Genomic DNA, 22,422 nt, shown 5'->3' with positions numbered 1-22,422 from the left:
AAAGACTTAGGGTCTATGGGATCAGTTAAGTTACCTTTTGTGAGCTTGTAAAGTGGTTTGGTTAGGATAGCAAAGCCTGGTATCTGGAGTCGGAAATATCCAACAATGCCTTAGAAGGAAAGGAGTTGTTTGGTGGTGGGGATTGGGGTCTGGGAGATTAACTAAACACGGTCTGCAGGAAGGGCACATGTATGTTGATGGAGGATTATACTGAGATAGGTAACGCTAGGGGAAGAAATTTGTGCGTTGGAGGGGTATACTTGGTACCCCTTTGAGTAGAGATGTTGAAGAAGCAGGATAGTGTCCTACTGGGAAGATTGGTAAGAGGGGCTGCAAAAAAGATCATCAAAATATTGAATAAGGTGGGAGGCAGGTGGGCGAAAACAAAGCAGATCATGAGAAAGGCCCTGGCCAAAGTAGTGTGGGCTGTCCCTGAAGCCTTGGGGCAGAACAGTCCAGTTGAGTTGTTGGGATTGGTGGGTGTCAGGGTCAGTCCAAGTAAAGGCGAAAAAGAGGCTGAGAGGAGGGATGCAAGGGGAGAGTAAAGAAGCCATCTTTGAGGTTGATAACAGAATAGTGAGTTGTGGAAGGGGATATTGAAGATAGGAGGGTGTACGGGTTTGGCACTATAGGATGGATAGGAAGGATGATTTGATTAATAAGGTGAAGATCCTGAACCAACCTATAAGACTTGTCCAGTTTCTGGATGGGTAGGATAGGGGAGTTGTAAGGAGAATTTGTAGGCTTTAAGAGGCCATGTTGTAACAGGTGGGTGATAACAGGCTTTAACCCTTTTAAAGCCTATTGTGGAATGAGATATTGGCGTTGAGTGGGGTAATGTTGATTAGGTTTTAATGAGATGATAAGGGGTGCATGATTGGTCACCAAGGTAGGAGTAGAGGTATCCCATACTTGTGGATTAAGTTGGGGAGATACCAGGGGAGGATGTGAAAGAGTTGGGTAAAAGTGCAGCAATGAGATGTGGCTGTAGCCCAGGAATAGTCAGGGAAGCAGATAATTTGGTGAAAATGTCTCTGCCTAATAAGGGAATTGGGCAGGTGGGGATAACTAAAAAAGAGTGCATAAAAGAATGTCGTCCAAGTTGGCACCAGAGTGGGGGAGTTTTAAGGGGTTTTGAAGCTTGGCCGTCAATACCCACAACAGTTATGAGGGCAAGAGAAACGGGCCCTTGAAAAGAAGGTAATGTGGAGTGGGTAGACCCCGTATCTATTAAACAGGGGATGGACTTACCCTCCACTGTAGGAGTTATCCGAAGCTCGGCATCCGTGATGGTCCAGGGGGCTTCCGAGATGATTTGGCAGCGTCAGTCTTTAGCCACTAAGCCGAGGAGATCTGGGAAGGAATCAGCCAGGAGCCTTAGCTTTTTGCTCCAGTAGGTCTAGGAGCAGCTGTAATCCAAGTTGGATGGTCCGACTTCCAGTGGGGTCCTGCACAGACAGGACAAGGCTTAGGAGGAATCCCGGGCTGTGGGCATTCCGAGGCCCAGTGGCCAGGCTTCTGGCATTTGAAGCAAGGTCCACAAGGAGGTTTTGAAGGAGTGCCTGGAGGTTGCGGTTTTGTTGTTCTGAGGTTTTTGTGTACCATGGGTGTGGCTGGGATTTTTCTTATGGTGGAGGCAAGCAGTTGCAGCTTTGAAATATGTTGTCGCTTGGCTGCCTCTTCTCTGTTGTTAATCACCTTGAAGGTGAGGTTAATTAAATGTTGTTCTGGGGTTTGAGGGCCGGAATCTAGTTTTTGGAGTTTTTTCCTAATGTCTGGGTCCAGGACTGTAAAGTGTCTAAGGGTAGCCCCCAAGCGGGCCATGAACTGAGCTGGGTTCTTGTCCTTACCTTGGGTGGTTTCTTTAAGTTTTTCATAATTAACAGCTTTGTATGCTGCCTTTTTGAGCCCCTCAACTAGGCAAGAGACCATGTAATCTCGCCTAGCTATATCTTGGGAGCCTGTTTGGTATCCCCACTGGGGACCCTCCTGGGGAACTGCCCTGGTGCCTTCTTGGAGGCCTGGCTCATGATGCCGGCAGTCGTCAGCGTGAGATTGGCCTAGGTTATAAACTCTCTCTCACTCATCTGGGGAGAGGGTAGAAGTCAGGATGACATTTAAGTCACTCTAGATTAAATTGTAGGACTGAGTTAAATATTGGAATTCCTGTATATATTTAGTGGGGTCTGATGAGAAAGAGCCTAAATGCTGACTGATCTGGAAGAGGTCCGAAAAAGGCACATGTACCCTGACTATGCCTTCAGCTCCAGCCACCTCTCTAAGAGGAAATTGTTGGTCAGGTGGAAGAGAGCTAGTCACGGAACGAAACTGTAAGCCAGACCAGGTGTGAGGAGAGGAGGTAATAGAAGGGTTATAGTGTGGGGGAGTGGAGGCTGTGGAAGAATTGGGACATGATTCAGCCCGGCGAGGAGCGGCCGGGGGAGGAGGAGAGAGGTCAGAGGGGTCAGTGGAAAAGGAGGATTCAGAGGACTCTGAGCTTGGGGTGGAGACCGAAGGAGTGGACGGGAGAGAAAGAAGGAAAATCTGGGATAAGTCACATTGGGAGCAGAGACTAGGGAGAGAGCAAAGTGTAAAAAAGGCCTGGACGTAAGGCACCTCAGACCATTTGCCTAATTTTTGACAAAAATTATCTAGGTCTTGTAGGATAGACAAATAAAAATTACCATCCTCTGACCACTTGGAACTATTGTCAAGTTTGTATTGGGGCCCAGCGGTATTACAGAAGAATATAAGATGTTTAGGTTTTAGGTCAGGTGTTAGTTGAAGGGGTTTTAGGTTTTTAAGAACACAGGCTAAGGGGGAAGAGGGAGGAATGGATGGCAGAAGCTTGCCCATAGTGGGGAAGGTAAGTTTAAAGAGGAAGGTAGAGACACGGAGAAATGGAGGTAGGCAGCTGCCAGGCTTCTAGTAGGCATCCCTGACTGAGTCCTCGGCTGTAATGTGGGTGAGCAGCCAAAGCAGGTGTCCCTGCAATTGACCTGCCACCAATGGAGTGTGGGTGAATGATCAAGGCAGGCGTCCCCGCTATGATCAGACACCAAGGGAAGACTGTCTTCCCAAATCCATGACCGACATCGGAATTTTTGAGTTCGTGGATAAAATGTGTCTCCTTTGCCTCTACTAGAGAGGAAAGAGAACTGGAGTTGGAAGGATAGGGAGATTGAAGGGTAGCAAGAGAGGCTGGAGAAGAGAGTGAAGAGGTCACTTACCCAATTTGAAATTGGTGAGATGTTCCTTGGGCTGGTCTGAGGACCCGAGGTCGTAGGTGGATCTCCTCCCGGACTGAGGGTGAGGACAGGGGGCTGGTCTTCTGAAGGAGTCCCCTGTCTTGGGTTTCAGCACCAAATGTTACATGCGTCTGTGTGAGGAGACCACCAAACAGGCTTTGTGTGAGCAACGAGGCTCTTTATTCACTTGGGTGCAGGTGGGCTGAGTCCGAAAAAGGAGTCAGCAAAGGGAGATAGGGGTGGGGCAGTTCTATAGGATTTGGGTAGGTAGTGGAAAATTACAGTTAAAGGTGGTTATCTCTTATGGGCAGGGGCGGGGGTCTCAAGGGGCAGGGTGGGGAGATCATGAGACACATTGTCCAGGGGAGGAATGTCACGAGGTCGATTGATTAGTTAGGGTGGGGCAGGAACAAATCACAATGGTGGAATGTCATCAGTTAAGGCAGGAACTGACTGTTTCACTTCTTTTGTGGTTCTCCAGTTGCTCCAGACCATCTGGATGTATACATGCAAGTCACAGGGGTTGTGATGGCTTAGCTTGGGCTCAGAGGCCTGACAGTTTTAGAGCAGGAGAAAAAGTTTAGTAAAAAGTTTTAGAGCAGGAACGAAAGTAAAGTACAATTGGAAGAGGGCCATGCGGGCGACTTGAGAGATTCAAGTGCGCAGTTTGACCTTTGACTTGGGGTTTTATACCTTGGCATGCTTTGGTTGGGGGTGAGTGGGTGTTGCATCCCTTCTTTCCCTGATTCTTCCCTTGGGGTGGGCTGTCCGCATGTGCAGTGTTCTGCTAGCACTTGGGAGGGGCTGCAGGCCCAGTGTGTTTACTGAAATTGTGCACATGCTCACTTGTGGCGTTTTTCCCTTACCATTCAAATGCTTTTAGAGGGAGGTTATATACCAGTTGAACTCTGTCCTTTTGCCCATTAATGTGCATGCTTGAGCCCATATACCCGACTCCTGAGATCTTATTGGGAAGCTGCGGATCACCAGTTTCAGGTGTTTTTATCTATTGGGGGATTATCTTTCCTTGGTGCTGCTTATGTCTGACTACCTACTGTAACAATATCAAATCTGAAACTACATCAATGAACTTTCATAATCTGTTATATTAAAATTGATTGGTCTGTCTTGCACTTTGAATGGATTTTTTTATTCATGCATGATTTTGTAACATCATGCAATGGTCATTTAGAAAATATGGGTCCACTGAGTTATGCCAATTTTCCAAATGTTGACACATTTTATTATACAATATCCCAAAAAAATCACATTTCTTACTATCACCATCGATCTCATCAGAAGAATCTTGAAGTATTGGGAAGGTATCAAGTTCACAGTGACACAAGGTTTTTTAAGATTCGATTTTTGCTTGGAAGTATAATATTAATTACAAAAATGCTTCTTTTCAAGATAACGATAATACTTTGTTATGCAGCAGAAGTACTTTTTGCTTCATTAAGAATATTCTTATGAGAATTCAGCTTTTAAAAAATTGTGGTATGCAGTAGTAAGAATACAGTGATTACTAGTAAATTTGGTGCCACTGGCTTGATGTGTGCTAAGGCACCATCAATTATATCCATCAGTACTTTTTACCATCTATACAAATGTTAACACAGTGAAAAATACAAATAATACCTTGGTATTATTATGAAAACAGAATTTGTTGTTGTGGGCCCCCTGAAAGGGTTTTGGCACTCCCAGGAACTTTTAGACCACACGTTGAGAGCTGCTGTTCTATTACTCATGTAGAATAAAAACAAAAGTGAAATAAATTATTTAACATATTATTAAAATTTCTTTGCAGTCAGTGACTCCTTTGAAACATTTTTGGATTTAGGGTCAAAAATCCACACACTATTATATACCAATATTATACAAACTACTATTGCATATGTTGTGATTCTTCCATCTCTTAAAGCAATATCCAGTATCAAGTAGCAATGTGAAAATTGGTATCAGTTTCATGAATGTTATATCCAAACCTACAAATATATAATTTTGTAGTAATATGAATTGGTTAATATTGCTAAATATATATTCCTAAGGGGTCATATGGAACTATTGTGAATATCATATTAATTTGTGAGTACCCTAGAACCAAACTAATCCCTCTGGAATTGGAGTGCTAAGAGAAGCTTTGACATTATTGGGAAATGCTACTTAGTTAGCGTAAGAATCTGGGTGCATTCAAGCTGAGAAGAAAGATTTGAAAAATTAATTCATTTGTATTTTACTTAGATGTTTCCATCTGTCACATCTCCCCAGTCTCAAAGCAACAGCTCAGAAGTCAGCAGATACATCCCAGAAACCTTCAAGTCCTTCAGCTGGAATCAACTTTCATTTTGAGATCATAGGGCATACATAGTGCAAGACATGCAAAGAAGTGTTTTGCTGGGTCCTGAATGGTGTTAGTCATGAGAACAGATGTTTAGGATCACGGGTTATATTGTGATATTGTGTCAGTTCTGAACACCTGGTTCCCAGGAACAAAGGTGACCATGTGTTCTCTGATACATTTCTTTTCTAGTTTTGGTAACATTAGGGGCCTTTAAAGCATGGGGCCCAGCTTTTTGAAAGGAGAACAATAAAAAGTTAATTGATGTACAATGTTCTTTTATATAAGGATGAGGAAGCATTGGTATGTGTAGCATGGGGGATAATTAACCCAGAAGATAGAGGCACACTGAAGAAAACACACAATCTGATTCCAGTGCCAGCAGGTGAATACTACTGCCCAGGGGGTCCCAGAAATTGGTGGATCAGTCTTTGGACTGGTGCCTTTGTTTGGATTTATATGATGTTAGGGGACTCTGTTGACATCGACATTATTTACAGACATTATTAAATCTCCCCCGGCCACACACACTAAAAACACTATAAAACTTGGCATGGTAAAAGTAATCACCACAACTTATGAAAACTGCTTCCCATTTATGCATAATTACTATGCAGCAGAATGTTAAATAGACACGTCGCTGAAGGTGCCGAATTAGCTTTTCAGCAGTTTTGATAACACTAAACTCTGTTCACATACACACAACTAACATCATTTATTGCACATGTCCATGGTTGTCTGCATAAAATAGAGTATGTACTCTCTGTGACTATATTAAGTTCCCAATGTTTGTTTATCACCATAGATATTTTGCCACAAAATTTAGGACTAAGTGGTTGAGGATATATGTTTAGCTGTGGACCAAATCCATGATACCCTGGAAGTCCAATTGAGGCCCCTCAAGTGTAAAGGAACAGCCAGGGTGGAGTTACAGATGAGCTGAGGGATTTAGTAGAATAGTAAGATTTTATTATCTTGGGCGTTGCCAGCAAAAGTGACTATGGTGGCCATGGGTGTCCACCTAAGTCCACATAAGCAAAACCTGCTCTGTGAACAAAGTCTCTTGAGACTTAGACTCTAAAACCAGTTCATCAGAACTAATACCAGAGACAGCCATCCTGTGATGATGAAATTTTATTGTTATAGATAAGACCGTACAGGGCTTAACGAGAAATGCATGCAGATAAAAAGACACGACAGATTTTTAATGAGAATGCTTTTAATTAATATATTTTTTGGTGTTGAGGGTGACACAGGGAAGGATTTTACTAAAATAATAAGAGAGGGATGAAGTTGTGGAAACAAGACACTTGAGACTAGAAAGTGTAAAAATGGAGGACTTCACTTTTTCTCACTACAGCTAATTCCAGCTACTGCTTATAAAAGCTGTCATTCTTCATTTCTTTAAATGTTAATTATAATCATAAAGGCATTACTGGAAAATACCTTCTCCCTATATAGGTCCATATGGCAGGAAATGTTTCATAAGTGGTTGTCCTTTTTATTAGAGTTGATTTCAGAAAATTATTTTAACCTGTATTCAAAAATGCTGTCATTATCTGTTTCTATATCTGCCAGTGTATTTATTAGTCAGGGTTGTCCAGAGCAACAGAACCAATATGGTATAGCTATAGCTATAGATATAAGACAGGGAGTTACTGGGGGAATTGGCTCATGCTATTATAGAGGCTGAGAAGTCCCACTGCAGGCCACCTGCAAGCTGGTGGAGACCATGGAATGGTGATAGCATGGTTCAGTCCAAGTCCAAAAGTCCAGAAACCAGTGGTGTAATTTCCAGTCCAAGCCCAAAGTCCTAAGAACCCAGGAGGCCACTGGTGTAAGTCCTGGAATCCACAGGCTGAAGAACATGGAGTTCTAAAGTCTATGGGCAGAAGGAGAATATCCTAGCTCCAGGAGAGAAAGAGATTGAAAATCATCTTTCCTTTGCCGTTTTTTTTGTTGTTGTTCTATCCAGGTCCCCAGCTGATTGGATGGTGCCTGGCCACATCAAAGGTGGATCTTTCCCACTCACTCCACTGACTTACACACCAATCTCCTCTGGAAACACCTCATAGACACACCCAGAAATAAAGCTTTACCAGTTCGCCAGGTATTCCTGAATCCAGTCAAGTTGACACCTAAAATTAACTATCACAAGTCCACTGCTTGTCAACTTGGCACCCACACACGTCTCTGTAAACTGTACTTAGTCTCCAAATAAAGACAATAACAAGGTAATAGTCCTACCTAACCTGATACAATTATCCTGTGGCTCATGTTTGTAATCCCAGCACCTTGGGAAGGTGAGGCAGGCGGATCACCTGAGGTGGGGAGTTGGAGACCAGCCTGACCAACATGGAGAAACCCTGTTTCTACCAAAAATACAAAATTAGCCGGATGTGGTGGCGCATGCCTGTAATCCCAGCTACTCAGGAGGCTGAGACAGTAGAATCGCTTGAACCCAGGAGGCGGAGGTTGCAGTGAGCAGAGATCATGCCATTGCACGCCAGCCTGGGCAGCAAGAGTGAAACTCCGTCTCAAAAAACAAAACAAAACAAAACAAAACAAAACACCACTAAACCCTTACCCAGAAGAGGAGGTAAAGTCCTTGAATGATGTTTACTTGTCTCCTGATATCCCATCACTTAAATATTATGATGTATTATTAACAATACTTAAATACTGATATAAAGTCAATATATCTTAAGTTAAATGATTCAGAGGAATGAAAACAAAGATACTTGTTTAATATATGTATATATAAATACAAATGCATTCTTAACAAAATAGGGAGAAATATGACAATTACAGTCCTCATTTCTGTAACTGGTCACATGATCATAACTGGTATTTATAACTACTTTCTTCCAATATCCATTCTGTATTCCCTTTGCCTTCAACATGCACCTCATCTGGTCATGGTTCTTTACCTGGTGGGGTGAACCTTCATTCCTGAAGGGTCTGGGTCAATTGTAGTCCTGCTTGGATTGGGTTGTTGTAATTTCTCATTGACTTTAATCACAGGGTTTGGTAGTACTAAGAGATGCCCTAAGGGATCTTCCGTATTCCAGACATACTCTCCCTAAACCCCAATGTGGAGTACTCATCCAGTTTCCCCTTAGTAGTCTGGATCAATTTCCCCAGCCACCACAGTAACTCCCTTGTTTGCCCGTTGACTCATAGGCATGAGAAGCCCAAAGTGGGTGGCAGTCTTAACTTCCAGTTGAATGGAGTCATCGTTATGTCTCCTATGGCAGCGCTCTTCTCTGATGCTAAGACTTGTAGGCCAGCAGAGCATAAAGTCACAGAAACAGGAAACAACATTTTGCTACTGGGTCACTAAGGATAAGGGTGAGTGGTGCCACTCCCATTTATACCCCTTGATTCCTGGAACTGTGAATCTTGGCTATAAGAGAAACAGTACCATATATTGGACACTGGTTCAAAGGATATATAGCTTTCTGGAGAACCTCATCCCAGCCCTGTAAAGTATTATCACCTAGTTGATGCTGTAACTGTGACTCAAAATGCCATTCATCAAGCCAGTTGCTTCAGGACAATGGGGACCTTGGTAAGGTCAGTGAACTCCGTGAGCATGAGCCCATTGCTGCACATTTTTGGTTGGGAAGTGAGTTCCTTGGTCAGAAGCAATGCTGTGTGGAATGCCAAGATAATGGATAAACATTCTGTAAGTCCACAGATGGTCGTTTTGGCAGAAGCATTGCATACAAGGAAGGCAAATCTATATCCAGAGTAAGTGCCGGTAAGAACGAAATGTTGCCCATCCTATGATGGAAGTGGGAGTGGCACCATTTGCCATTATCCCTATTGACCCACTAGAAAAATGTTGTTTCCTGTTTCTGTGACTTTATGCTCTGCTGGCCTACAAGTCTTAGCATCAGAGAAGAGTGCTGCCACCAGGAGACACAACAATGATTCCATTCAACTGGAAGTTAAGACTGCCACCCAGTCACTTTGGGCTCCTCATGCCTGTGAGTCAACAGGCAAACAAAGGAGTTACTGTGTTGGCTGGGGAAATTGATCCAGACTACCAAGGGGAAACTGGATGAGTACTCCACATTGGGGTTAAGGGAGAGTATGTCTGGAATACAGAAGATCCCTTAGGGCATCTCTTAGTATCACCAAACTCTGTGATTAAAGTCAATGGAAAATTACAACAACCTAATCCAAGCAGGACTACAATTGACCCAGACCCTTCAGAAATGAAGGTTCACCCCACCAGGTAAAGAACCGTGACTAGCTGAGGTGCTTGCTGAGGGCAAAGAGAATACAGAATGGATATTGGAAGAAAGTAGTTATAAATACCAGTTATGACTGTGTGACCAGTTACAGAAATGAGGACTGTAATTGTCATCAGTATTTTCTCCGTATTTTGTTCAGAATACATTTGTGTGTGTGTGTGTGTGTGTGCGTGTGTGTGTATACACACATATATTAAACAAATATCTTTGTTTTCATTCCTCTCTTAATCATTTAACATAAGATATATTGACTTTAGGGACCTGGCACAGTGGCTCACGCCTGTTATTCCAGCACTTCGGGAGGCTGAGGTGGGCAGATCACTTGAGGCCAGGAGTTGGAGACCAGCCTGGCCAAAGTGATGGAACCCCATCTCTACTAAAAATACAAAAAATTAGCGTGGTAGCACGTACCTGTAATCTCAGCTTCTCAGGAGGCTGAGGCACGAGAATCACTTGAACTCAGGAAGTGGAGGTTGCAGTTAGCTGAGATCATGCCATTGCACTCTGGCCTGGGCAACACAGCAAGACTCTGTCTCAAAAAAAAAAAAGATATATTCACTTTATATCAGTATTTAAGTATTGTTAATTTTACATCATAGTATTTAAGTTATGAAATATCAGGAGACAAGTAAATATCATTCAAGGACTTTACCCCATCTTCTGGGTAAGGGATTAGTTTTTTATTGTATGCAGGATAATTGTATCAGGTTAGGTGGGTCTATTACCTTGTTATTGTCTTTACTTGGAGATTAAGTTCAGTTTACAGAGAGGTGTGTAGGTGTGTAGATTAAGTACAGACAAGAGGTGGACTTGTCATCATTAATTTTAGGTGTCATGTTGACTGGATTGAGGAATACCTGGAGAAGTGGTAAAGCATTATTTCTGGGTATGTCAGGGTGTTTCCAGAGATTGGAGTAATCAACCTGCCACAAGGTAGCTGGCTGATCCACCGAAGCCAATGATACTGTATCAAGGGCTCAGTGTGGGTCTTGGCTGCTGGCAGATTGAGCCCTCAGAGGTGACTGTAGCCAGGTCAGCTTTGCTAAGTGGAGGTCTATGTTGCTGAACTCATACATGACTTCCATCTCTGCCACGCTGGGCAATTTATTCTTGAGTCCATTGGATGATGGTAGGGGTAGCTGGGGAAAGAGGGTGACTAGTATCCACAGAATGGGTCATCCCATCTCCTTGATTATTAGTCCTCCTCTGCTGAGATCACACTTTGGTGAGCATTGGCAAAGGACATAATCATCTTCACATCTTTTTCCCACTCAGGTCCATCCACATATCTCTTCCCCAAATTTCTTTGTCACCAATTTTCCAATTATGTTTCTTTCAATTCTCTGACCATCTGGCCAAACCATTGGTTACAGTTCATGAATTGGTATATAATTCCACATCTGGCCATTTCTCCATCCAAGCAAAGTGTACAACGTGGTGCACTGTCCAAAGTTCTACACACTGAGATTTCTCTTCACCGCTATCCTCTAAAGATGTCCCACAAAGGGATGGTATTGCTGAAACTGTCCACTTTTGGATGGTGCCTGCATATTATGCAGAACCACCTGTAAACTGGGACCTCTATCAATTGATCATAGGATACTCCCCATGGGGCCATTGGTGCAGGCTGAGGCAGTGTAGTTGGAACCAGGGGCATTTGGGTCACTTTGTGTAACTTACTTGTGCTTCAGAACCTGCTTGGGCCCAGTTATGTGTATATCACTTCCATTTGATGATAGAGGGCTGCTGTGTATGCCCAACGTTATGGCTTGGTGGGTCAGTTAACACCTAGTTAATGATGGTCAGCTCAGGTTGCATAGTTACTTGGTGGCCCATGGTCAAATGTTCAGTTTCTACTAAGGCCTAGTAGCAGGCCAAGACTGCCTCTCAAAAGAAGGGTCATTATTTGTGGATGATGGCAAGGCCTTGCTCCCAAAATCCTAAGGGCCTTTGCTGCAATTTATCTATGGGGACCAATGAAAGGCTTCAAACAGCATCCTTATCTGCCACTGACCCCTCCAGCACCATTGGATCTGCTGGGTCATATGGCCCAAATGGCAGAGTAGCTTGCACAGCAGCCTGGACCTGTTGCCTCTGCCTTATCCTGTTCTGGGCCCCATTCAAAACTAGCAGCTTTCCAGGTCACTTGGTAGATGGGCTAGAGTAACACACCAAAAGGAGGAACACGTTGCCTTCAAAATCCAAAGAGGCCTACTAGGTATGGTGCCTCTTTCTTGGTTGTAGGAGGGGCCAGATGGAACACCTTATTCATCACCTTGGAAGGGATATCTCAACATGCCGCACACTGCTGGACCCATAGAAATTTCATGGAGCTAGAAGGCCCTGAAGTTTGGTTGGATTTATTTTCCACCCTCTGACACACAAAATGCCTCACCAGTAAGTCCAGAGTGCTTGCTACTTCATGCTCACTAGGTCCAATCAGCATAATATAATGGGCCAGAATGATATCTTGTGGATGGGAAAGGTGATCAAGATCCCAGTGAACTAAATTGTGACATAGAGATGGATAGTTGATATAATTCTGAGGTAGGACAGTAAAGGTGTATTGCTGACCTTGCCAGATGAAAGCAAACTGCTTCTGGTGGGCCTTATGGACAGGGTTGGAGAAAAAGCCATTCTCCACATCAACAGCTATATACCAGGTACCAGGAGTTGTGTTAATTTGCTTAAACAATGAAACCACATCTCGTATAGCAGCTGCAATTGGAGTCATCACTGGGTTAAAACTACAATAATTCACTGTCATTCTCCAGAGTCCATTTGTCTTCTGTCTTCTGCACAGACCAGATAGAAAAGTTGAATGGGGATGTGGTAGGAATCTCCACCCCTGCATCTTTCATGTCCTTGATGGTGGCACTAATCTCTGCAATCCCTTCAGGGACGCAATCAATGGATTTTGATTTACTATTTTCCTAGGTAGGGGCAGCTCTAATGGCTTTGATTTGGCCTTTCTCACCATAATAGCCCTCATTCCACAGGTTAAGGAATATGGGGATTCTGCCAGCTGGCAAGAACGTCTGTTCCAATCATACATTCTGGAACTGAGGAAATAACCACATGATGGGTTCACAGACCCACCAGACCTATTGTGAGTCAGACCTGAGCCAAAGCTCCATTGCTAACCTAACCTCTATAAGCCCTTGCTGTGACTTGTGGGCCGCAGTGACTTTTTGGGTCTCCTGGAATCAATGTCAATTCAGAGGCAGTGTTCAGTAGTCCTGAAAGATCTGTACTTCCTTTTCCCCAGTGCACAGTTATGCTGGTAAAAGGCCGTAGGTCCCTTTGGGGAAGGATGGGAGAAAGTTTAATAGTGTAAATTTTCAGTAGTGTACCAGGGTACTTCCTGGACAGAACCTGGCCTCCCCTTCATTCAAGTATTTCTGGGTCTGTGAACTGGCTCAAGTCTAGGAATTGATTGAGAGGGAATGATTCTCTGTTTTTATGTTTCAAATTAAACCTTTGTTCACTTGACCTGATAGTTTTCTGTTTATACAGATCAAGTAAGAACTTAGTAGGCTTCCTATCTATTTTACTTTTAGGAACACCATGGTTAGCTAGCCAACACCCTGGATTTACACAAGTCACACTATTCTGATTGTTGCTGTGCCTCAGCTGTCTAAGATGGTAACTATACACACCTTGCCTTTGATAGATGAGTGCCACCACTTAGCCCCTGCCACACCAGGTTTCAATGATACCCATTGCATTTAAGTTTTCCAATTGAGTGACTGCAATTCTGTCATGATTGGTGCAAGGTTAGAAATAACCAGGTCCATGTGTGGTTGTGTCTTTCCACACTGTCAGGCTTTTGTTGATACTGTTCCAATCACAAAAGCCAGAAGCTGCATGGAGTTCCCAAGGAAACAATCCCCTTTAGTACTTCCTGCTTACTCAGTGGTCAGAGCTTCAGGCACACAGGCTCAAGACATTCCACAAGTCAATCAATATTGCAAACCATACATAATAGTATACTTAATCAATATATAAATGTTACAGGTTAAACATTCCATAACAAAGTCACATTTAAAATCAAGAGGAAAAAGTACAGGAGAAAGTGTTAATAAGCCAGTCCAGGGAGGGCTAAGAAGACAAAAGGAATCCTGGTTTGAGCCAGATGGTCTGTCAGCCTTGCAAGTCCTTGAGGTGGCAGAGCTTTTGGCTGCAGACACCAAGTTCTTATTGTAAGTGACTGCAAGACAGTGTCATTAAGGCAGCCATTTGGAGCTGCTGAAGGCCTGATCTTTTACAGTCATAGAGTCTTCTGATGATGAGAACTGACGGTGGAAGGGTGTGCTTTTTTGTGTCTTTATCTCACTGGATGTGGTCTTTATTTTTTATTTGTTTATTAAACAAAACATCTTATCCTTGTATGCAAAGTGCCCTGTGAAATATAAAATGAAGCCTTTTTCTAAGATAGAATTAGCTATGTCAAGGGTGCTCTATCCAGGTCTCCACTCTAAGGTCCAACCTACAGAAAAGCACAATCATAGCACTGTTCAGGGATGCTGGGGCTCCCCCACACATCTATTTCTCAAAGTATTTGGTGAAAGTTATGACTTCTGGACCCTCCCAGTGTGGGTTAGTAGGTTTTAAGTGACAAATCCATTCTAGCATTCCAATCTCCTTTTAATCCTTTCCTCTACATTAACCCAAGGGAGATGGGGGATCTCCAGCTTGGCCTCATGAGTCATCTTTTGATCCAAGTTTCAGGTGAAGAGGAGAAAATATAATTTCTTTTCTCAACCCTCATAAGTTCGTAGATGGGATACTTTTGTCACAAAAGATGGATAAGAGAAAAACAAGCATTTTTATTTATTTATTTATTTTTTGAGATGGAGTCTCACTCTGTTTCCCAGGCTGGAGTGCAGTGGTGCAATTTCGGCTCACTGCAACCTCCATCTCCCGGGTTCAAGCAGTTCTCCTGCCTCAGCCTCCCAAGTAGCTGGGACTACAGGCGCCCTCCCACCACACCTGGCTAATTTTTGTATTTTTAGTAGAGACGGGGTTTAACCATATTGGTCAGGCTGGTCTTGAACTCCTGAGCTCAGGTGATCCACCTGCCTCGGCCTTCCAAAGTGCTGGGATTACAGGCGTGAGTCACCACGCTCAGGCTTCGTTTTTTTTTTTTTGAGATGGAGTCTTCCTCTGTCACCCAGGCTGGACTGCAGTGGTGATATCTCAGTTCACTGCAGCGTCCGTCTCCTGGGTTCAAGTGATTCTATTGCCTCAGCCTCTCAAGTAGCTGGGATTACAGGTATGTGCCACTACGCCTGGCTAATTTTTATATATATATATATGTATATTTATTTATTGTTTGTTTGTTTGTTTTTGGTAGAGACGGGGGTCTTACCATGTTGGCTAGGCTGGTCTTGAATTCCTGACCTCAAATGATGCACCCGCCTCGGCCTCCCAAGGTGGTGGGATTACAGGTGTGAGCCACCGCGCCTGGCGAAACCAAGCATTTTAATTTAAGCATGCAGTGTGCATTATGCAGGGGAAATATCAGTTCAAAAGTGTCTCTCAGATGGTGGCTTAGGGTCCCAGCTTAGATAGCATATCTAATAAAGAACAATAAATTTAGAAACAACAAGACAAAGGAATAAGCAACTTTTCCCAAAAGATGAGAAAACTATGAGACAATAGTCAAGTTTGTTCCCAGAATCCTCTGGCCCTGCCGGTACCAGTGAGCTGATAAGCAAGAGAGAATTAATATCTCTGTCTTTAGGTAGAAAGGGGAGGCAGAAGACCCCCTGTATCCTTTTCCCTGGAATTTTATGGCCTGCCAAAGGTAAGAAAGAGCAGCTCAGATGGCTCTTTCTGCAACTGTTGCTTTCCAGTTGCCTCTGGCTTAAAGATATTTTTGTCAAGAAGGTATATTTTGGGGTGAAATATTCTGGTTTCCTTCACAGCCAACCAATCAACCAAACTGCTAGCACCTTTCCTAACTCCTCTAACTGTAGCATGCAATGCACAATCTCTGCTTAGTGGGCCTATATTAATAACTTTGGCCTGATCCAACTTTATGTTCCTTCCACCATTACCGCACATCCTTAATATCCATTTCTATACATATTCCCTGGATATCTGCTCTCATAAATGAGAAAACTCAAGTAGTTCTTTTGGAGTGTGGTGCACCTCCTCATGGGTCACACTTTGTCCCTCTTAGGGCCTGCTGGGACTTGAGTCCAGATATAGTCTAGAAGCAAAGAGGGGTGGGGAAGGGGGGTGAATCAACATTGTCTTGCTTAGCAATTGCCTCAGCAGAGGCCATTACCGTTTTCTCAGGCTATGCAGAGTCAAACCTTGAAGACACAGGTGGAAAGGCCATGTCACTGTGAACTGGCACCAGATGCTGGTGCCACTGGGGGTGGGGGTAGGGAGGCCACTTTTGCTGGCAAACAAGACTCATCAGAATTTAGGAGCTCAATGTCCCAGCTTTATCAGGGTCTTCCCACAAATTTCTACTTACAGGATCCCATTCTTGTGCAAGCAATGCCCTCACTATGAGACTGAGAGTTCAACTTTTGTTGTAATTCAGCCAGTCACCTGACAATGGCTTGTGTTTGATTTTCAGCAATTTCAGGCCTGTGGCTACAGGAGAGAAGATGTTACCTTAGGGCACACTTAGAAGCTCTTAGGCTATTTATGTGGAGCTGGAGCTAGAAATTTGAATCCCTGAGCTCATGTTTTTCTTACATTACTGTGTCCAGTGACATTAGAAGCAGCCAACCATCCTCATTATATTCCTTGGTTTTTCACAAATGTTTGAAAGTATGATATAGAGAGTTACCAAGTTCCATGTGTCTTATAAGTGGTTGATTAAAAGTATCAAATGTAGATATTTTGTGTATCTCTATAAACAGTTCGTGCCATGGACTATCCAATGCTCTCTGTACTACTAGAAGTGGAGTTTGTAGGATTTTTAGGTTGAATCAAATCAGAAAGCCAATTCCAGAAAACCCCAAACCAATAAAGGAAACTCACCCTTAAAATTCTCTTCCTCCAGAACCTCCCATGGTACCAATATCTGTATTAGTCAGGATTGTCCAGAGAGAGAGAACAAGTAGGATGTATGTACATAGATAGGTAGGTAGATAGATAGATAGAGGTAAATATAGAGATAGAGATATATAAGAAGGGACTTATTTGGGGAATTAACTCATGCTATTATGGAGGCTAAGAAGTCCTACCAAGGGCTACCCACAAGCTAGAGACCCTGGGATAACCAAATCATTGCTCAGTCCAAGTCCAAAAGCCTCAGAACCAAGGAAGCTGATGATGTAATTCTCAGCCTGAGGCAGAAGGCTCTGGTGTAAGTCCCAGAGTTCAAATGCCGGAGAACATAGAGCAGTCCAAGGGCAGCAGAACAAGAGCCAGAGAACATAGAGCAGTCCAAGGGCAGGAGAACAAGAATGTCCCATTTGCAGGGAGTGAGAATGAGAGAAAGAGAGAGAGAGAGAGAGAGAGAGAGAGAGAGAGAATTTTTTCTGCCTTTGTGTTCTATCCAGGCACCCAGCTGATTGGATGGTGCCCAGCCACATTAAGGGTAGATCTTTCCCACTCACTCTACCAACTCACATGCCAATCTCCTTTGGAAACACCCTCACAGACACACTCAGAGATAATGCTTTACCAGTTCTCTAGGTATTCTTCAATTCAGTCAAGTTTACACCTAAAATTAGCCATCACAGTTATGATTGGGATTTGACCTTTGACCTTGTGTCCTATCTTGCCACTTGAGTAGAGGAAAATGGACTGTGGGAGACAGTGCAAGCTAAATAAAGGGCATTTGAAGAAGTAGACCTGGCAGTTAGATGAAGCACAATTTAATCAAAATTAGATGTGCAAGTATGCATGCATTTTTGCTAATGATATTCTGAGGAATGCAAAGTAAATTTATTTTACCTGCATTTTGACTGAGAAATGAAGATATTAGCAGAGAGTTATGAGGAGCAGGTGGCATTAAAAGCAAATGCATTTTTAATTTTTCTTTGTTATAGTTCCATGGTTGTTAAAAGAGCAAGGCTTTTCAAATCATAGCCTTAATTCAAAGAAGTTTAATTCTGGATGGCTAATGGGAACTGACTCAGTTATTTCTTTTTTCCAATGGTTTATAATTATTGTTTTTGAAATTACTTTTGAAGCTAAGCTCTTCCCACAGTGCTCTCTGGGTGATTAGTTTTACCATAGATTCAGGTGGCAAATCTCTATCCATTACTGTTTTGAATATAATCAAGAGAAATGTAGTTAAAATTTTTTGTTATTGTGACATTTTCAAGGAATAATTTGAGTTTGTATGAAATTGTATAGTGCACTCATTCAAACACTCAATGTCTTGTTTGGGTCAGGCTCCTCAGAGCAGAACCTGGGCTGAGGACTCATAGGAAACTGAGCAGGAAATTGTACTCCCACGATGCAGTCATTGGCTGCAGGCTGCCCAAGGGAGATATAAACGCTGTCACTTCCATCTCCTGCACGAGGTGGCAAAACAGCTCCAGGAGCCCCAGAGCAGTGCTCCAAAGATGAATTGGATGTGTGGGGCCATTGGAACCAAAAGCACAGAAAGGGATACGCAGAAACAATACAAGGGTAACAGAGGTGATGGGATCGGGAAGAAGCATTGATGGTGTCCGCTGTATTCAAACAATATATTGAGCACCCACCGTATGTTGAACAGTGTTCAAAGCCCTGGGGATTCGGTGGAGTATAAACCAGTAGGGCTTTCATGCTAGTGGGAGAGATGGTTAATATAATAAGTAAGCTAATATATGAATAACATAATAATAGCATGATGATCCATGCTATGAAGAATAGGAAGCAGTACAGGGGAACAGAGAATGAAGGGGTGCTATATTAGATAGGGTAGTCAGGATAAGTTAAATAAACAAATTCTATGAAAAATATATTTGGGTTTCCATGGGGCTCTTATCCTTTGGGAAGTACTGGCATTGTGTATTGTTTCTTCCTAACCCTGGGAACTTCTTTCACATGGAACTCATAGAAGGGAAGTGTGCCTCCTATTTGAATAAAACTATCACAATAGGTATTCTTGACATAGGAATAACAAACATGAAGTAAAAGGCATTTTTCTACCCTCTGCATTTATTTCTAAATGCTCTGAAGTCAAATATTTGGGGAAGCAAAGAAAGAAGAAAATTGGCTTTGTATGTTAAGAATTCTGGTAATGTGTATTGGTAAGCATCTCAACTCTGATTAAGAATATTGAGAAAATCTAAGTTGTTTAGGGGAAAATGGATAGAAAAGAAGGAGGAAAACACAGTCATCTGGCTTATTACATAAAACTATCTTTGATGTTTTTAACTGAAAATCCAAGAGAATCTAAAAAGAGACAGTAAACTTTCTAAAGAAAGGTATGTAATGAGGTCATAGTGTTGCCGAGATGACAGTCAATGTCAGTTACTGGATGTTCTGTTGCAGAGGTGACTAGATTCTTGTCACTGTTTCATGCTGAAACTCACAAATGACTGCCAATCACAATTGTGCCAAATGATTGGCACAATTTGAATATGCCAATCAAAGTCACAAATGACCCAAATGACTGGGTTTACGTTTGTGGGGAATCTTACTGGGAAGTGTCGTTTTACAAATTCTTTCTCCCGATTATTTCATCTGATGCAACTTCTGGTAACCTCCTTCAACTATCTTGTTACTGTCCCCCAATTTCTCTGGTCTTTTGCACCAGAAGGATGGACAGGAGGTGGTGGTGGAAGAAGCCAAATAGAATTTGCTAGCAGGAATAGAAGGTGACTCATTTTCTCCCTTCCTTTCTTACTTATTCCCCGTGATAAATGTTCCAGGACTTTTCCAGTTGAAAGGAGAGAAGATGAGACATAAGTTATAACGGTCCCACTGTGTAATTTTTAGTAGGTAATGAATGCTTCACAGCTTTGTTTTATTAGGAAATATGCATGCTATGTTAATAAAATGGGTTGTGGAGTTTGAAATTTCATTAATGAACATTAAATATTATCAAAAGGCTAATAATTCATTATAATTTTAAAATTAAACATGAGCTCATCAAATAATTTAAATCATTTAATCTAGTAATGTTGAGATGAATTGTGGGGCAATGCTCTTCAGTGCATACTATTTTATTTTATTTATTTTAATTTTTTTTTTAGACAATCCCACTCTGTCACTCAGGCTGGAGTGCAGTGGCGTGATCTTGGTTCACTGCAAACTCTGCCTCCTGAGTTCAAGCGATTCTCATGCCTCTGCTTCCTGAATAGCTGGAATTACAGGTATGCACCACCACGCCTGGCTAATTTTTGTATTTTTAGTAGAGACAGGGTTACAGCATGTTGGCCAGGCCGGTCTCAAACTCCTGGCCTCAAGTGATCCACCTGCCTCGGCCTCCCAAAGTGCTGGGACTATAGGCATGAGCCACGGCACCAGGCCCATACTATGAAAACACCCACACACACACATACACACACACACACACATGCACACACACAAAAAAACCCCACAACTGTTAATGGACAATGAAATATGTAACAGTGTCTTACTTTATTTTGTGCTGCTGAAACAGAATACTTGAGACTGGGTGATTTGTAAAAACTAGAAATGTATTTTCTTACAGTTCTAGAGGCTGGAAAGTCCATGACCAAGGAATCTGCAGGTTCAGTTGTCTGGTGAGGGCTGCACACCAGAGAGGCACTTGGAGTGGGGGATGATGAATTTAGATTGGGGTGGTTAAAGAAGACTCCTCTAAGGAGGCAACATTTGAGATAAAAGGAGAATGATGGGAACCCAGCCTTGTGAAGCTTGAGGGAAGAGCTTTCCAAGCAGGAGAAATAGCTTGATCAAAGGTCCCTATAGCAGGAACAGGCTTGATGTGTTCAGTATTCCATGATGGGAAGAATGTACATTTATATCACTATTAGCTTTTAAAATCATCTTTAAATTATTATATCATGTCTGTAGTTAGTATGTAGACAGCACAGTGAGGTGCCACCCAGTGAGAGCCATATTAAGGGGACAGACCAACCAGACATAGAAAGATGGGCACCATTTTTTAAGAGGTGTTAAAGCATCACTGGAAAACATTTGGAATGTGGCACCCCTAAACTCAGGTCTCCATGTACAAGTCCTTCTTTAAGTAGTGAAGCTTAGGGACCAATGTGATGGTGAGGTATCTGAGGGCATTGAAGTCTCTGAAGTCTTTTTGGTGCTCCTTGTCAACTGCTTTCTCAACGGCCTCTGCCGGTAGGATCCAAGGATGCAAGGATCCAACCCCAGTTGGAGCTGTCATACCCTGGGAAGGAAGGAATGAGTTACAGAGCATGGAGGCTGAGCTTGTGTGTGATTTTCACTCTGTTGCTCAGCCTTTCTTCCCTCCCTGCTGGGTGTGGCAGCCAGAATGTAGTCAGAAGTGCAACCCATGTGAGGAGCTCGTGGCAAACCCTCAACTGCTTTATTTAGCAGTAGACCTCACTGAGGCCGGGGAGGAGGAAGGATGGGGCTGGCTGCTCTGCTTAACTGTACATCATCCTTTTTTTTTTTTCTTTTTTTCATTGGTATTTACCTCATGGCCCACCTTGTTTCCAGATCTTGCAGCTTTTGAGCAAGAGGTTTTTCTGGAGCTCTGTTGGGGAAGGCAACTTACTTAATAGAATGAAGGCTCTGCTTGGCTTTCCTTTAATCTGATCCTAGATTTTTCATATTTTCCAAAAAGCCTCAAAGTTTCTGGAGTAAAATGGTGTCTGTGGCAGAGACTGCTGGTTGTCTACTCCCAAATATCTCTCCTTTAATAAGAGAACCCCAAATTCCAGCTGGGCACATGACTGCCAAGCTAAACAAACAAACAAACAAACAAACAAACAAACAACCCACAAAAGAACAACAACCCTACATTCCCCAAATTATTTGCAGTCAGATATGACCCTGTAACTAAGTTCTGACCGATGAAACATAAACAGAAATCGTGTGGGAGTACACACTAATATCTTTAAAGAGAGAGAACATGGCCTCCTTTCTTTTTTCTTCATCTTTCTGCCTGAGACACGAATGCAATAGCTGGAGCTCTAGCAATCACATTGAACCACAAAGAAGAATGGTGGAGGTAAAAACTGGAAGAAGCCAGGGTCTGTGATAATCACCATAACAGCTCTGAAATGCTTATTTCTAGATTTCTTTTATGTGAGAGAAAAAGAAACTGTTTTGTTTAAGCTACTGTCATTTTGTGCTGGTTCTATAGCCAAATCTAATTCTAACTGATATAGTTCCCTTTTTGTTTTTTAAGAACCTATTCAGAATTACACACATACACACACGCACACATACAATGTGTATATATATATATATATGCATATATACATATATATGTGTATGTATATATAGAGTATATCTATATATACGTAATGTCATTTCACTGGGAAGTGAGGAAAACTTCTTGAAATGGAAACTTGCATGCAAAGATTGTCTCAAAAAGAATGAAAAAATTACTTGAATCATGATTTTGTATTTTTTTCTTCATAATTTTTTCATCCTCCTATATCCTTACAGAGTAAGTGCTTAATAAATCTTTTGA

General features: G+C 42.5%; 1 long non-coding RNA gene across 3 annotated transcripts in view; it reads right to left on the bottom strand.

Annotated features, from left to right (window-relative positions):
* LINC02577 (long intergenic non-protein coding RNA 2577) overlaps positions 1–22,422 on the bottom strand; it is a 63,465-nt gene that overhangs the window by 5,042 nt on the left and 36,001 nt on the right. For 2 of the 3 annotated variants that reach the window (NR_170304.1, NR_170303.1), the window contains exons 2-4: positions 10,260–10,377; positions 3,231–3,379; positions 1,252–1,448 (exon numbers count right to left, since the gene is read on the bottom strand). This is a non-coding gene — a long non-coding RNA (long intergenic non-protein coding RNA 2577). The remainder of the gene's footprint in view (positions 1–1,251; positions 1,449–3,230; positions 3,380–10,259; positions 10,378–22,422) is intronic. The other variant, NR_170302.1, reaches the window with a different exon arrangement.

Source organism: Homo sapiens, chromosome 7 (genome assembly GCF_000001405.40).
Source record: "Homo sapiens chromosome 7, GRCh38.p14 Primary Assembly".
NCBI lineage: Eukaryota > Metazoa > Chordata > Mammalia > Primates > Hominidae > Homo > Homo sapiens.
This window is presented reverse-complemented; position numbering and strand designations above follow the sequence as displayed.